The 14043-nt window shown below is 47.6% G+C and overlaps 1 annotated feature.

The window, feature by feature from the left end:
* Positions 590 to 1789: an enhancer, noted in NCBI's record as "P300/CBP strongly-dependent group 1 enhancer chr2:9319676-9320875 (GRCh37/hg19 assembly coordinates)". NCBI's record gives its function as "activates an origin of replication core promoter dependent on BRD2, BRD4, P300/CBP, MED14 and CDK7 cofactors, with strong dependence on P300/CBP, by STARR-seq in HCT116 cells {active_cell/tissue: HCT116}" and the evidence as "EXISTENCE:reporter gene assay evidence [ECO:0000049][PMID:35650434]".

Here is a 14043-nt window from a genome sequence, read left to right on the forward strand (position 1 = left end):
GCCCCTGGCCTCAGGTTCCTGCCTCATGCTGATGACTTTGGGATTGAGTGGGACAGTTGGAGGGTTGCCTTCAGGAAGAGAAATGATGCTGGCCTGGCTTTTGAGCTCCTTATGAAACACAGCAGTGAACCAGTCTAGGAAACCGCACTGTGTTCCACCAGACTGAACAAGCAGAAAGGGCCTTGGACCCGCCTCCCCGGCACACCCGTGGGATGGCTGTCTACATCTGCATGCAAATGATTCTGATACGTTCTGACAAATAATATTTACATTTGGAATCCAGCTGTCAAGAGAGAACAGCTGCCATCAGGTGCTTAAGGCACCTCTAAGGCATGTTTTCAGATTTTAAAAAAAACCACGTGAGCCCACACTGTTTAAACTGTATCCCCACGGAAGTTGCAAACTGAAGCTTCTTTGTTCCTGCCAAATGACTCATGGACGCCCTTTAAAAGAGAACGAAACAGACGTGTTTTGATGGGGAAAATACATAAAAAATGCAGTGCATTTTTCCAAGCAGCCATCAGACCATCTAATTCAGGCCAACGAGGGCAAAGCTGCGAAGCTCTTCGGCTGACCTTCTCCATGAGGACCTTGTCCCAGACAGGGGCCCCCTGGAAAGGGACGTACTGACCAAGGCAGGAAAGAGAAGGCCAATTTTCCCAAGACGATTAATCTTACTGAGGTTCCATTTGAAAACAGCCTTCGTGTTCTTCTAGTATGTTGTTTTTCTGAGGAAATCATTTTCAGAAGCATGTGATGTAATCATCTTAAGAAGATAAGCGTTCATTTACATAGCATTTATTCTGTGCTAAACATAGTAAGTAATTCCTTGATGAAGAACCCAGACACAGAGATAGTAAGTAACTTGCCCAAGTCCACACAGCTAGCAAGTGCCTAGCTGGGGTGCAAACCAGGTAGTCTGGCCACAGAGTCTGGGCTCCGCGTGGTGGAAAAAGCACCTCCCGTGTTGGAATCTGTGTGCCCTTGGACAAGTCCCATATCCTTCCTGAGTCACTAATGCCTCCCCAGCACTGTTGTGGGAGGATTAGTCACTGGGGCAGGCCCTCAATAAACATGAGCTGGATCTGAGTCCCAGGGGAGTGCCACACAACTTCCATGGGCCTCCCCTGACCCTCCCAGGCTTCAGGAAGCTCTTCCACCTCTGCAATGTTGGGTGGAGTAGCAAAAAAAGGCACGCAAGGATCCAGCAGGCCTGTAGGACATGGCGGTTTATTGTGAAAATGGTCTGAATTGATATTGGTAGTGCCTCCACCCCTACACATACACACATACATGGGTTCCTAATACACATGTACACAACACACAACACACAACTAACCAACGAGAATCCATCAGCATTGAACCGCAGGCAGCACACTGGCAGGTGCCTGGAGCGGTTACAGTTGTTACTAATTTCTTGGTGCTTACACTGCGTTGGCTTTGTAACCCCAGGGCCTGGCTCTGTGTCCTGGGGATGCACACATTTCCTCGCAGCTAGGCCAGTTTGCATCAACCCTGCACCACTTCTCTTCATTCTCTACAAATTGGAGAAACCCCATGTTGTTGATAAGAAGGAACCAACGACAAAGTTATAACAGTGAAAGACACAGGAAACAGCTCTCTGGTGCAGGTTCCCAATTTCAGGCATAACAGAAAGTTATTCAGGGCAGCAGCCCTGATGTTCTTGAACTCTGGCTTCTCAAAAGGAAGGACATAATTTTCACTGGGTGGAGGGCTGGGGTTACCTGAAAATAGCTCTCTTGCAGGATGGAAGTTCCTGACCAATTCTACTTCCATAAGGCACTGTCAAACACCTCCCTTCGCCCACCTCCAGATTCCAGATTGAGCAGTCCTAGCCTTAGCCCTGAACACCCACCAGGACCCATTGTGGCTGCCACAAATGGACCCACCCTGCTCATACAAACACGTGGGGACTGCAGAAAAATCAGGACCCAAGGATTGACCTCACACTCCTATCAGTTGCTCCCACTCCTCCCCATCATCTCTGCTTCTTCACCTCCCACTTGACTTTGCCTAGCTCCAGATCTTGCCTCAGGCATAGATATGGTTTGTCTGTGTCCCCACCCAAATCTCACCTTGAATTGTAATAACCTCCACGTGTCAAGGGTGGGGCCAGGTGGAGATAATCGAATCATGGGGATGGCTTCCCCATACTGTTTTCATGGTAATGAATGTCTTATGAGATCTGATGGTTTTATAAAGGGCAGTTCCCCTGCACACACCCTCTTGCCTGCCACCATGTAAAACATGCCTTAGCTTCTCCTCTGCCTTCTTCATCATTGTGAGGCTTCCCCAGCCATGTGGAACTGTGAGTCCATTAAACCTCTTTCCTTTATAAATTACCCATTCTCAGGTGTCTTTATTAGCAGCATGAGAACAGACACCCTAGGATGTGGCAGCCTGCTACAAACCCACTGGCTCAATGGACCCCCTTCCCGATATTTACGCTTCTTAGTTATGCAAGCCAATAAATTCCCTTTATGGTGGTTGAGGTCTTTAGAATTGGGTTTTTAATTTCTCAAAATGCAAGAACCCTGACTAATACAGAGGTATTTGATAAAGTAAATTGAAAGAGAAGCTCAGCAGTCCATGCATTGACTTAGCAGGAAGAGGGGAGCCCTGGAAGGCTTGAATAGACAGGTGGCATCCTTTGATGTATCTGATCAGCCAGTACCCATTTGACGAGTATGGACATCTGCATGGGGCTGGATCATGGGTGTCCACCAGTAAACATCACACTGCGTGACCCCTGCTCCTGAGAAACCCACCGTCAAATTTCATTCAGTAAATTATTTTTGACGGCTGATTATGTATACAACACTGTTAAATTCTAGTTAACATAAGGCGCTTAATTCAAGATAGTGGCGAAAATCATGTTGTTGGAAGGTAGAGTCGGCTGTGCTGGTGTACAGGTGTCCCAGGTAGATGGTACTGAGGTGGGGACAGCTTTCAGGGGTGGCTGGGAGAGACCAGCTGTGAGACGGGGCTGAGCTGAGCAGGAAAATAGGACAGGAAAGTGAGGGCATCCTGGAGGATCAGCCTGAAAGGAAGATGAGGGAAGAGGTGACCGATTGGATGTGGAGCAGAGGGAAGGGAGGGAACAATTTAAGGACATCTTGAAGGGGGCACCTTGAGCAGCAATGGGGATGCCAGGAGAGAAGTGGGTTGAGGGGTGGAGAGGAGGAGGTGAGTTTAGCTTAGACACGTCGAGTTCAGACATTGGTTTAAAAAGTAGTAAGCAATGCCACTGTGTTCACAAGTTGTTGCTTAGGAGGGATGGTGTTTAGGACAGTGGTTCAGATCCAGAAGACTGGATTTGAGTCCCAATTCTGCTTTTTTTTTTTTTTTTTTTTTCTGATACAGGGTCTTGCTCTGTTGCCCAGGCTGGAGTGCAGTGGCTCAATCATGGCTCACTGTAGCGTCAACCTCCAGGGCTCAAGTGATCCTCCCACCTCAGGATCTCTGGTAGCTAGGACCAGAGGTGCACAGCATCATGCCCAGCTAACTTTTTGTACTTTTTTGTATACATGGCATTTTGCTATGTTGCCAAGGCTGGTCTAAAATGCCTAGACTTGAGCTATTCACCCCTCTGCAGCCTCCCAAAGCACTGGGGTTATAGGCATGAGCCCCCGTGCCCGGCTCCAGCCCTGCTCTTTCTGTGCTCTGTGGTGCTGAGCGCATCACTTCACCTTTCTGAATTTCAGAGGGGATAACAAGGCACTCCTTCCTTGGCTTAACTCACAAGATGACCAAGTGAAGTTTTGTAAACCATAACATGTCACGTACATGTTGGTTATTACAGCTGAGATAAAAATTGACAAACTGTAAAAGCATTAAAGCAAACAAATGAGAAAAAAAAAACTCTGTGTTAGCTGGACACAGTGGCTCACACCTGCAATCCCAGCACTTTGGGAGGCCAAGGCAGGTGGATTGTTTGAGGCCAGGAGTTCAAGACCAGCCTGGGCAACATGGCAAAACCCCATCTCTACTAAAAAATACAAAAGAAGATTAGACAGGTGATATGGTTTGTCTGTGTCCCCACCCAAATCGCATCTTGAATTGTAGCTCCCACAATTCCCATGTGTTGTGGAAGGGACCAGGTGGGAGATAATTGAATCATGTGCTGTTCTCGTGATAGTGGATAAGTCTCACGAAATCTGATGGTTTTATAAAGAGGAGTTCCCCTGCACAAGCTTTCTCTTTGTCAGCCGCCGTGTAAGACATGACTTTCACCTTCTGCCATGATTGTGAGGCCTCCCCAGCCATGTGGAGCTGAGTCCATTAAACCTCTTTCTTTTGTAAATTGCCCAGTCTCAGGTATGTCTTTATCAGCACAGTGAAAACGGACTAATACAATGGGCGTGGTGGTGTGCGCCTGTGGTCCCAGATATTTGGGGGGCTGAGGTGGGAGGATGGCTTGAGCCCACGAGGCGGAGGTTGCAGTGAGCTAAGATAGTGCAACTGCAGTCCAGCCTGGGTGACAGAGAGACAGCCTGTCTCAAAAAAGAAAGAAAGAAAGAAAGAAAGAAAGAAAAAAAGAGAGAGAGACAGCGAGAAAGAGAAAGAAAGAAAGAAAGAAAGAAAGAAAGAAAGAAAGAAAGAAAGAAAAGAAAGAAAAAAGGAAAGAAAGAAAGAAAAGAAAGAGAGAGAGACAGCGAGAAAGAAAGAAAGAAAAGAAAGAGAGAGACAGCGAGAAAGAGAAAGAAAAGAGAAAAGAAAAAAAGGAAAGAAAGAAAGAGAAAAGGAAAGAAAGAAAGGAAAGAAAGAAAGAAACAGAAAAGGAAAGAAAGAAAGAGAAAAGGAAAGAAAGAAAGGAAAGAAAGAGAAAAGGAAAGAAAGAAAGACAAACATCTGTGTGAGTATAAGTAATGGCAACTCTTCGGATTAGAACCTTGGGATCATCAAATTTTCCCCGGAATTTGGGGTCTAAATGATGGAGGTAACTGCTCGGGTCTCTGACGGGCCCCGCCCCTCCCCCGCACAGAGAAGGAAGCCCGGGCACACGTTCTCCCTGCCTGCCGCTGACCTGCCCTCCCAAGGCAAAACCCGTCAGTAATGAAAGAGACAGGCATGGACTCCGGCGTTTTAAAACTTCATCTGTCACAAAGAACAGAAGTCAATTATCTAGTCCCAGAAATCATTTCCCCGGATGATAGACGGAAGCTATTAGCAGGTCCTTGGCAAAGACCTTGCCAGGCTTTGATGCTGCCTCCCTGGCCATGCTGTTCCTGGCTGCCTGATCCTTCCCGGGGCCTGGAGTCTGGCTTCCCACATGGGCCCCAAACGGCTGGCTCTGCGGCAGCCCACGCGTCACCTCTGTGCCCATTCCAGGGTCTTCTCTCCAGACTGTGGCTTTCCCTGAATAATCTGGGCTCATGACAGAATAGCGAAAACCCAGAACTTTACAGCCTGGGAGGAGAAAGATGTGTTTCCCTGATGCCAGTGAAGGCCTGTGTGGGTCCCGTCCCTGCGCAGTGGACTTGTCAGCGGGGGGGCTGGAATAGCCCTGGCAGGTGAGATCACGCGCCATTGTAGTTAGTCCAGAAAACCACCCCCTTGATTTCTAGACTCCAACTCACTGACCTTTCATCTTTCTCAAAGATATCCTTTCTTGGACATTGCATGAGCCGGAAGGGGAGGAGGGCTGGGCTGCAAGGCAACGTCCACTCACCGGCTCCTTTCTGGGGAGAAGTCATAGTTCAGGGGCAGGATCCTTTTTCCTGGCTAGGTGTTCACAGGGGGTAACTTGGTGAGGAGGTCTCAAGTGTCTGCCTCAAGGGTACGAACCCTAGACGAATTCTGGCATGTCCTTCCCGTAGGTGGATAGAATACAGCTGGCTACTCTCTCTTCCCATCCATGAATGTTTTTTTTTCCTTTTGTGACAGGTAAGGTGTGACGTGGAGCTGGTTTAGTTTGAATGCTCGGTCACATATTTCAAGAAACTTAAAGGGACACATGACTTTGGCATGGGTGTGGCCTTACTGTTGGCATTGAAGGCAGGGTCTCCACTGTTGCATGGGGCCACTAGAGTCTGATTTAGCAAAGATTGTTCACAGAAAGGCACCAGCACAGTGGGGAGTGCATGGTGGCCCAAGCTCTGCCCTTCAGTAGCTGGGGGGGACTTTACCTCATGGAGACACAGTTTCTTCATCTATAAAATGGAGGCAAAAAATCATGCCTTACAGGCTGGGCACAGTGGCTCATGCCTATAATCCCAGCACTTTGGGAGGCTGAGGCTTGAGGATCACTTGAGGTTGTGAGTTCAAGACCAGCCTGGCCAACATGGCGAAACCCTGTCACTACTAAAAACAACAAAAATTGCCGGGCATGGTGGCACATGCCTGTGGTCTCAGCTACCCAGGAGACTGAGGCAGGAGAATTACTTGAACCCAGGAGGCAGAGGCTTCAGTGAGCTGAGATCATGCCGCTTCACTCCAGCCTGGGCGACAGAGCAAGACTCCGTCTCGAAAAAAAAATCATTAAAGAAAAAAGAATGCAAATCAAGCACCTAGCACATGGTAGGTGCTCACAAATGTTACTTCTTCCCCCTTTATTATCCAGAAATATTTGACCCCAAAACAGATTCTAAGGAATCGACAAGAATAAACTGTGCCTATAGTTTTAGATAAAGATGCAATGTTGCTCTTTTGTGGTTAAAAGTGGTAGCTTTGGCTTCGTTTATTATTTTCTCAGCCATCTTATTCCTGGAAAGTCCTCATCCTTCCCGCACAGCCACTAAGCCGATGATTTTACGGACCTGGGCTTTCTCTCTGGGCACAATGTCCACCTGGTTACCTGGCTATTCCAGCCAGCAGTCAGATGACAGCTGGCCACATGATAGCACTGACCTCACCTTGACCAGCACGTCTCTCCTCCTATTCAAGTGACTTCTCAGGGATCCATCTGTCTGGTCTTGTTCTCTGCAAGCTGAGAGGGACCAGTCTCGTTGCCAACATGGCAGGAAGAAACGGTTTTGGAACCAAGTGATTGAAAGACTCTTCCGTAGGAAACCATGGTCTGTCTTCTCTAGGGCCGTTTCCTGGTTCTCACTGCAGGTGTTCTCCTATCCTAAAGTCATGTCACTTCAAGAACACTTCTGGCCGGGCGCGGTGGCTCACGCCTGTAATCCCAGCACTTTGGGAGGCCAAGGCGGACGGATCACGAAGTCAGGAGATCAAGACCATCCTGGCTAACATGGTGAAACCCATCTCTACCAAAAATACAAAAAAATTAGCCAAGCGTGGTGGCAGGCGTCTGTAGTCCCAGCTACTCAGGAGGCCGAGGCAGGAGAATGGCGTGAACCCGGGAGGTGGAGCTTGCAGTAAGCCTAGATTGTGCCACTGCACTCCAGCCTGGGAGACAGAGTGAGACTCCGTCTCAAAACAAACAAACAAACAAACAAACCAAAAAACACTTCCTGGGTCAGGTGTGGTGGTTCACGTCTATAATCCCCTATAATCCCAGCACTTTGGGAGGCCAAGGTGGGTGGATCGCTTGAGGTCGAGAGTTCAAGACCAGTCTGGCCAACATAGCAAGACCTCATCTCTACTAAAGAAAAAATTTAAAAAATTAGCTGGGCATGGTGGTGCACACCTGTAGTCCCAGTTACTCAGGAGGCTGAAGCACAAGAATCGCTTGAACCCGGGAGGTGGAGGTGGCAGTTAGCCGAGATCACACCACTGCACTCTAGCCTGAGTGACAGAGCAAGACTCTGTCTAAAAAAATAAAAAAAGAAAGCTGCTTTCTGAAGACAGAGGAGCTTCCACAACTGTCTTTTTCCAGCATTTAAAAATCTTCCACTAAACCATCTGGTCTCTCTTAGCCCACACCTTCTCCAGACCGAAGCAAAACTGTTAGCACTTTTTATAAGAACTATCAAGCATAAGAGGTTATTTACCTTGAAGGGATAATCATCAGGATATAGTCAGTGATCGTTTATTCACATATCAAACTAAATTCAACAGATAGCTATGAAATATAGGCTGGGCACGGTGACTCAGGCCTGTAAACCCAGCACTTTGGGAGGCCGAGGTGGGCAGATCACCTGAGGTCAAGAGTTCAAGACCAGCCTGGACAACATGGCAAAACCCCATCTCTACTAAAAAATACAAAAATTAGCCAGGCATGATGGCATTCATCTGTAATCCCAGCCACTCAGGAGGCTGAGGCAGGAGAATTGCTTGAACCCGGGAGGCGGAGGTTGCAGCAAGCCGAGATCGCGCCACTGCACTCTAGCCTGGGCAACGGAGTGAGACTCCATCTCAAAAAAAAAAAAAAAAAAAAAAGAATAAAATATAAAGCAATCTTAGGTGAGAAGTATTTTTGAAAGTGTGATAAATTTGAATTACAGGCCGGATATGGGGGCTCATGCCTATAATCCCAGTACTTTGAGAGGCTGAACTGGGAGGATTGCTTGAGCCCAGGAGTTTGAGACAAGCATAGGCAAAAATACAAAAATTATCTGGGTGTGGAGGTGCACATCTGTAGTCCCAGCTACCCGGGAGGCTGAGATGGGAGGATCACGTGAGCCCAGGGAGGTCAAGGCTGCAGTGAGCCATGATCACGCCACTGTACTCCATCCTAAGCAACAGTGTGAGACCCTATCTCAGAAAAATAATAATAATTTGAATTACAAGAAACTAGCCCCATAGACATAAATATACTGGACTGAACTAAAACTGCACTCATAATAATGATGTCTACACATGAGAAACACGATCATAATTGGTTTCATGCAAAACAAATACCTACAGACAAGGAGTCATTTCCCGAGTGACCAGGAATAGAAACCAGAGATGCATTCTTGAACTGAATGTATTTGGAAGAGTCAGAACAGCTTGAGGGCCAAGTACTCTGTCACAAGCCTTAATATTCTAACCACATTTCATTTTGCACACTCACCTGGCCCACCTCAAGATATGAAGTCTCCATTGTCAAAAGTGCTATGATAACTGACATGCTATAAACCTTCAAAGAATTACAAAAAGCCAGCAGTCTGCCTTTCTGACTGCTGCCAAAGAATATGCTTCACATTTTATTGCCTATGAAGATAAAATCAAACATTGCTTTTGATCCTGGATGTTGCTGTGCTAATTTCATGCCCTCCTACCTTGTGTATGCTTGGATAGTGTGGGGCCACTTGTTTGCCTCTTAAATTGCTGCCCATTGGGGCAGGGGCCATGGCTTATGTATGGTCTGTGCCAAGAGAGATCTAAGCATGATTAAATCTGGCTGCTCTTCTCTTCCTTTTTACCACCTCTTGATGTTTGCATCCTTCTAGGGCTTAAAGTTCAAGAGCAGCTTTTAGAACCTCCATCGCGGGGTTGTAGAGAGAGGAGATCTCATCCTTTTTCTGTATTTCCAAATCCTATCTAAGTGGCCGATGTACTTTTCAATTTAGTTTATTAAGCTGTGCAATAGGAATTACAATAAATACATGTATAATAAGGGCTTTGTAGGCATATGATATGTATAAAACAAATAGCACATTTCCAGGCACAAAAAAAGATGCTCCCTAAATATGTTGAGTGAATGAATGAAGGATTGAATGAATGAATGAAATGAATCTCAGTTTTCACTAATTTGTACATAGGAACAAAAACTGCTTGTAACCTCAGCAAATGCATTCGCTGCTCGCAAGGGACCAGATCATTAGCCTGCAGTATGGCATAGATGACATGAAGTAAACACCTCTCTCTGGCCAATACTAAGACCCTTTCCAAAAAAATAAGCCCACTCTTCCTTAAGTCAGTTAATCCTAACTGAAAACTGCTAGAAGCTACTTACAAATTATAAACTAAACCAAGTTTCTTACATCGTTATCAAAGACACACCCTATTCAGTTTATCAAACCCACCGAGCATCTTCACTGTTTCCAGTTCATACTGAGCTATTTGTGTGATTGGGAGAAGGCACCCCTTCCTCCAGACACTCCACTGCCATCTGCACCCCAGGCCCCACCAAAGCCTAATTGATCTGCAGCTGGACAATGACTCTGATGGGAAGGGTGCCCCGAGCTATGCACCGCACAGCCTATGTAACCTACCATGAGCCTGTTCACGGAGCCATCAGTAGTTTAGGCTTCCTGGCTGGGTGTGGTGCTTACGCCTGTAATCCTAGCACTTTAGGAGGATGAGGTGGATGGATTGCTTGAGCTCATGAGTTTGAGATCAGCATGGGTAACACGGCAAACCCCATCTTTACAAAAACAAAAAAATTAGCCAGGGGTGGTGGTGTGTGCCTATAATCCCAGCTACTTGGGAGGCTGAGGCAGGAGGATCCCTTAAGCCCAGGAGTTCAAGGTGCAGTGAGCTATGATCGTACCACTGTACTCCAGCCTGGATGACACAGTGAGAACTTGTCTCAAAAAAAAAAATAAGTTTAGGTTTCCTTCCTGATCAGGCCTTTGCCCAAACTTAGGTACAAAGCCAAGGGTTTTCCCACCACGAAAGATCAGAAGGATGCTTACAAGTCCTCTTCTCCTTCAGGAGCCTATTTTCTGAAATGTACTGTGTGAAAAACACAAGCATCTAGGGACAATGGAGCCCCCGCAAGACTTCCAGGTCTAGGATGAAATAGGACTCCTCCCACGGAGAGAGAAGACATGAAATGCAGGGAATCATGTAGGTCTTGATGTGCCCAGCTGGACGCAGGCAGAGGGGAAGGGGTGGCATAGGAATTGTAATGATTTCTAGCTGACTCTTGGAAGATGGGAAAGAATTCACAGATACACAAGGGGCAGAGAGCCTCTAGAAGGATGGAAGGGCTTGTGCTCAGGGTTCTGTGAAAGAATGCACACAATATGGGAAGCTACACGTGGTTCGACCTGTTCCCCAAACCGCAGCCAGAGAGAGATTTTGAGAAGGCGAATCTGCCTGAAATGGTTCTGCGGCTCTCCACTAGCTTGGGTAAAGTCTAGCTTAGGTGAAGCTCTCTCTCCCCTTTGACTCTGCACACACTGTCTCTCACCACCAACTTCCAGCTCATAGTCATCAGGGATCCCTTGTTCATCTGGATCAGAGCCCTCCCTGGACTCAGGCAAGGCAATAGCCCCCACGTGTTCACCCACTGAACTTGAACTTAATTGTACCTTCTTGTTAGAGTCTGCTCTCACTCTGGATTGCTGGCTCTAGGGGCTCAGGGACTGTGGCTCTCTTGCTCATCCCTGGATTCTCAGAGCTAGCACAGGATCTGATGCATAACAGGAATTGAGAATGAATGAATGAATGTGTTAGGCATGACTGTATCTGTGGGTATATTCGACATTTGTTGAGAAATTAGGCTGAACCGTTAAGCAGTCTGGACTGCAAAGGGCCTTATATAGCACACTGAGGAATTGGGATTTCATTCACAGACTGCGGGGAGCCATTGAAAGATTTTTAAGCGAGTGCCATACTAGATTTGCATTTTTGAATAATCACTTTTTGAAAGATAATTATGGCACCCACGTAAACAGGATGGATTGGAGAGTTGTCTAGGCTGGAGATAAGAAGATTTGTTGTGCCGCTGTATTCACAAAAAAAGAGTGAGGGCCTGAATTGATGAGGGATGAGGGGAGAATCAAGGGCAGGGAGCAGCTCTGTGGGTACTATGTAAGTAGAATCATCAGGACCTGGTGACTGACTAGATTTGCAGGATGAGGGAGGAGAAGGACTTCAGGATGGTGCCAAGGTTTCTGGTTGGACAACTAGATGAGGAAGAAGAGCAAATTAAATCACAGAAGCATGCTGCAAATGATCAGTTGACTTTGGGTTGGCACTCGCTGGGGTCTCAATCAAAGAAAACCATGTTTTCTACTTCTTCTGGTTAGCCTTTTTGAGCAAAGAAGCTGGAGTATCTGTGGGGTCTTGTGCCCTGCTGAGGGAGTCTTAGACTTGGGAAGTATAGAACCCCTGGTAGTCCAGCTTGCGAGTCAAGTGGGCTGAGATCCACTCAGCCAAGGGCCCAATCCCACCCTATTAGGGTATCAGCAGCTTTCTATCTGATGCACAGTGGTGGGGATGCATGTGGAAGGCATGCTCTTTGCTTCTGCCAGCCCCAGGCTGGATTGCTGTGTCATATTATGGAATGGGGCACAAAGGGGGCATTGATTTGCTGGCAATCCTGCCATGGAATCCCTTGGTCACGGCTTTTCCATGCCCTGTCTCCAGCATACTCAGACTGATCCAGTGTGCCCAACCAGCCGTTTCCACAGGTCTGGCCCGGCCAGGGACCTTCTTGCCACATTCTGGGCTCTGCCCACTGGAGAGTTCAGGACAGGACCCGGGTGCAGACCGGAGGCCCAGGCGCAGAGTTGTTATGCTCAGGGCCATATGGAAAATGTGAACAGGGCCTGAACAAACTGCACAGCTCACTTCTTGGCATTTGCAAGTGGGACTCACCAAGATGCAATGCAGAGGCGGCCAGTGAGGTCAACTTTGGCTGAGAACCCCGAACAGACTGGGAGAGTCCAGGAGAGAAAGGAAGGGACACTGGAGCAAACATAACGGGGTGTAGCCCTGTTTTAAAAACACCAACAGAGAAAGCAACCTTTGGAGGAAAAGTGCATGGCTCCAAATCCCAGGGGGGCCCACTCTTGTCGGGGGTCTGATATCTGACCCCTGGGCTGCCCAGAAGCATTCACTAAATGCTGCTCTCCAACCAAGTTAAAAGAAAACAACTCCCAAACTCTTTGCAAAGAGAGTCACACACATGGCCTTGCAGACTTTGGGAATTCCGCAGAACTGAGAAAATGAAGTCTCTGTTTCGAGCCATGACTAGGTCTCTTATATGACTAAGGGTTATTACTTCTGCTTAGAGGCAGGAAACATCCACAGCTCCAAATCCTACAGGCCAACCAACCACTCTCTGTGTGGCGGTTAGGCAAGCACTTTCAGAGTGAATGTTGGGCACTTACAGATCCCTTGGGAACTTTTTGCTCTCTGATCACAACTCTGCAAGTGGTTCCCCAGAGATGTGAAAGAGCAAGTGCTCTAAGAAGGCGCCTGCTCACTTACAAACCCACTCACCTCTAAGATTCGCCCCACACATTCACAGACCTGGAAAGAAATTCAAAGTCCTTTTTTTTTTTTTTTTTTTTGAGACAGAGTCTTGCTCTGTCGCCCAGGCTGGAGTGCAGTGGCGCAATCTTGGCTCACTGCAAGCTCCACCTCTCGGGGTCACGCCATTCTCCTGCCTCAGCCTCCCGAGTAGCTGGGACTACAGGCGCCCTCTACCACGCCTGGCTAATTTTTGTATTTTTAGTAGAAATGGGGTTTCACAGCGTTATCCAGGATGGTCTCAATCTCCTGACCTTTTGATCCGCCCGCCTCAGCCTCCCAAACTGCTGGGATTACAGGCGTAAGCCACCACGCCCGGCCCAAAGTCCTTTTTTTTTTTTTTTTTTTTTTGAGATAGGGTCTCACTCTGTCACCCAAGCTGAACTGCAGTGGTGCCATCACAGCTCACTGTAGTCTCCACCTCCCGGGCTCAAGTGATCCTCCCACTTCTTAGCCTCCCAAGTAGCTGGGACCATAGGTGTGCACCACCATGCCTGGCTAATTTTTGTATTCTTTGTAGGAATGGGGTTTCACCATGTTGCCCAGGCTGGTCTTGAACTCCTGGGTTCAAGCGATTTGCCCACCTCCCAAAGTGCTAAGATTACAGGTGTGAGCCACTGTGCCTGGCCTAATCCTTGGTTTTGAATTTCTCCTCTAAAATGCTAGATGAAGCTGTGTAGACTTGCTTTCTCTAAAATCTCCCAAGCACATATTAAAAATACAGATTTCCAATCCCCTCCCCTAAAGACAGTTCTGTGCCAGGGCCATCTGGAACCTGGACTTTACCAGGGGTCCCGGAGATCCTTACAATTGGGCAAGTGTCAGCAATGCTTTTGAGCCTAGGAATGATGGTAGAGGGGGGCGGGCCTAGCCCATGGTCATTCTCACCATACCCCCAACAGGTGAGCAACCACCACAATGGGGAGGAGATGATGCTGGCCTGTGTGACTGCAGGGACCTGGGACTAGGAGAGACCTGTGCTCA

This window comes from Homo sapiens, chromosome 2 (assembly GCF_000001405.40).
Source record: "Homo sapiens chromosome 2, GRCh38.p14 Primary Assembly".
NCBI classification, from domain to species: domain Eukaryota; kingdom Metazoa; phylum Chordata; class Mammalia; order Primates; family Hominidae; genus Homo; species Homo sapiens.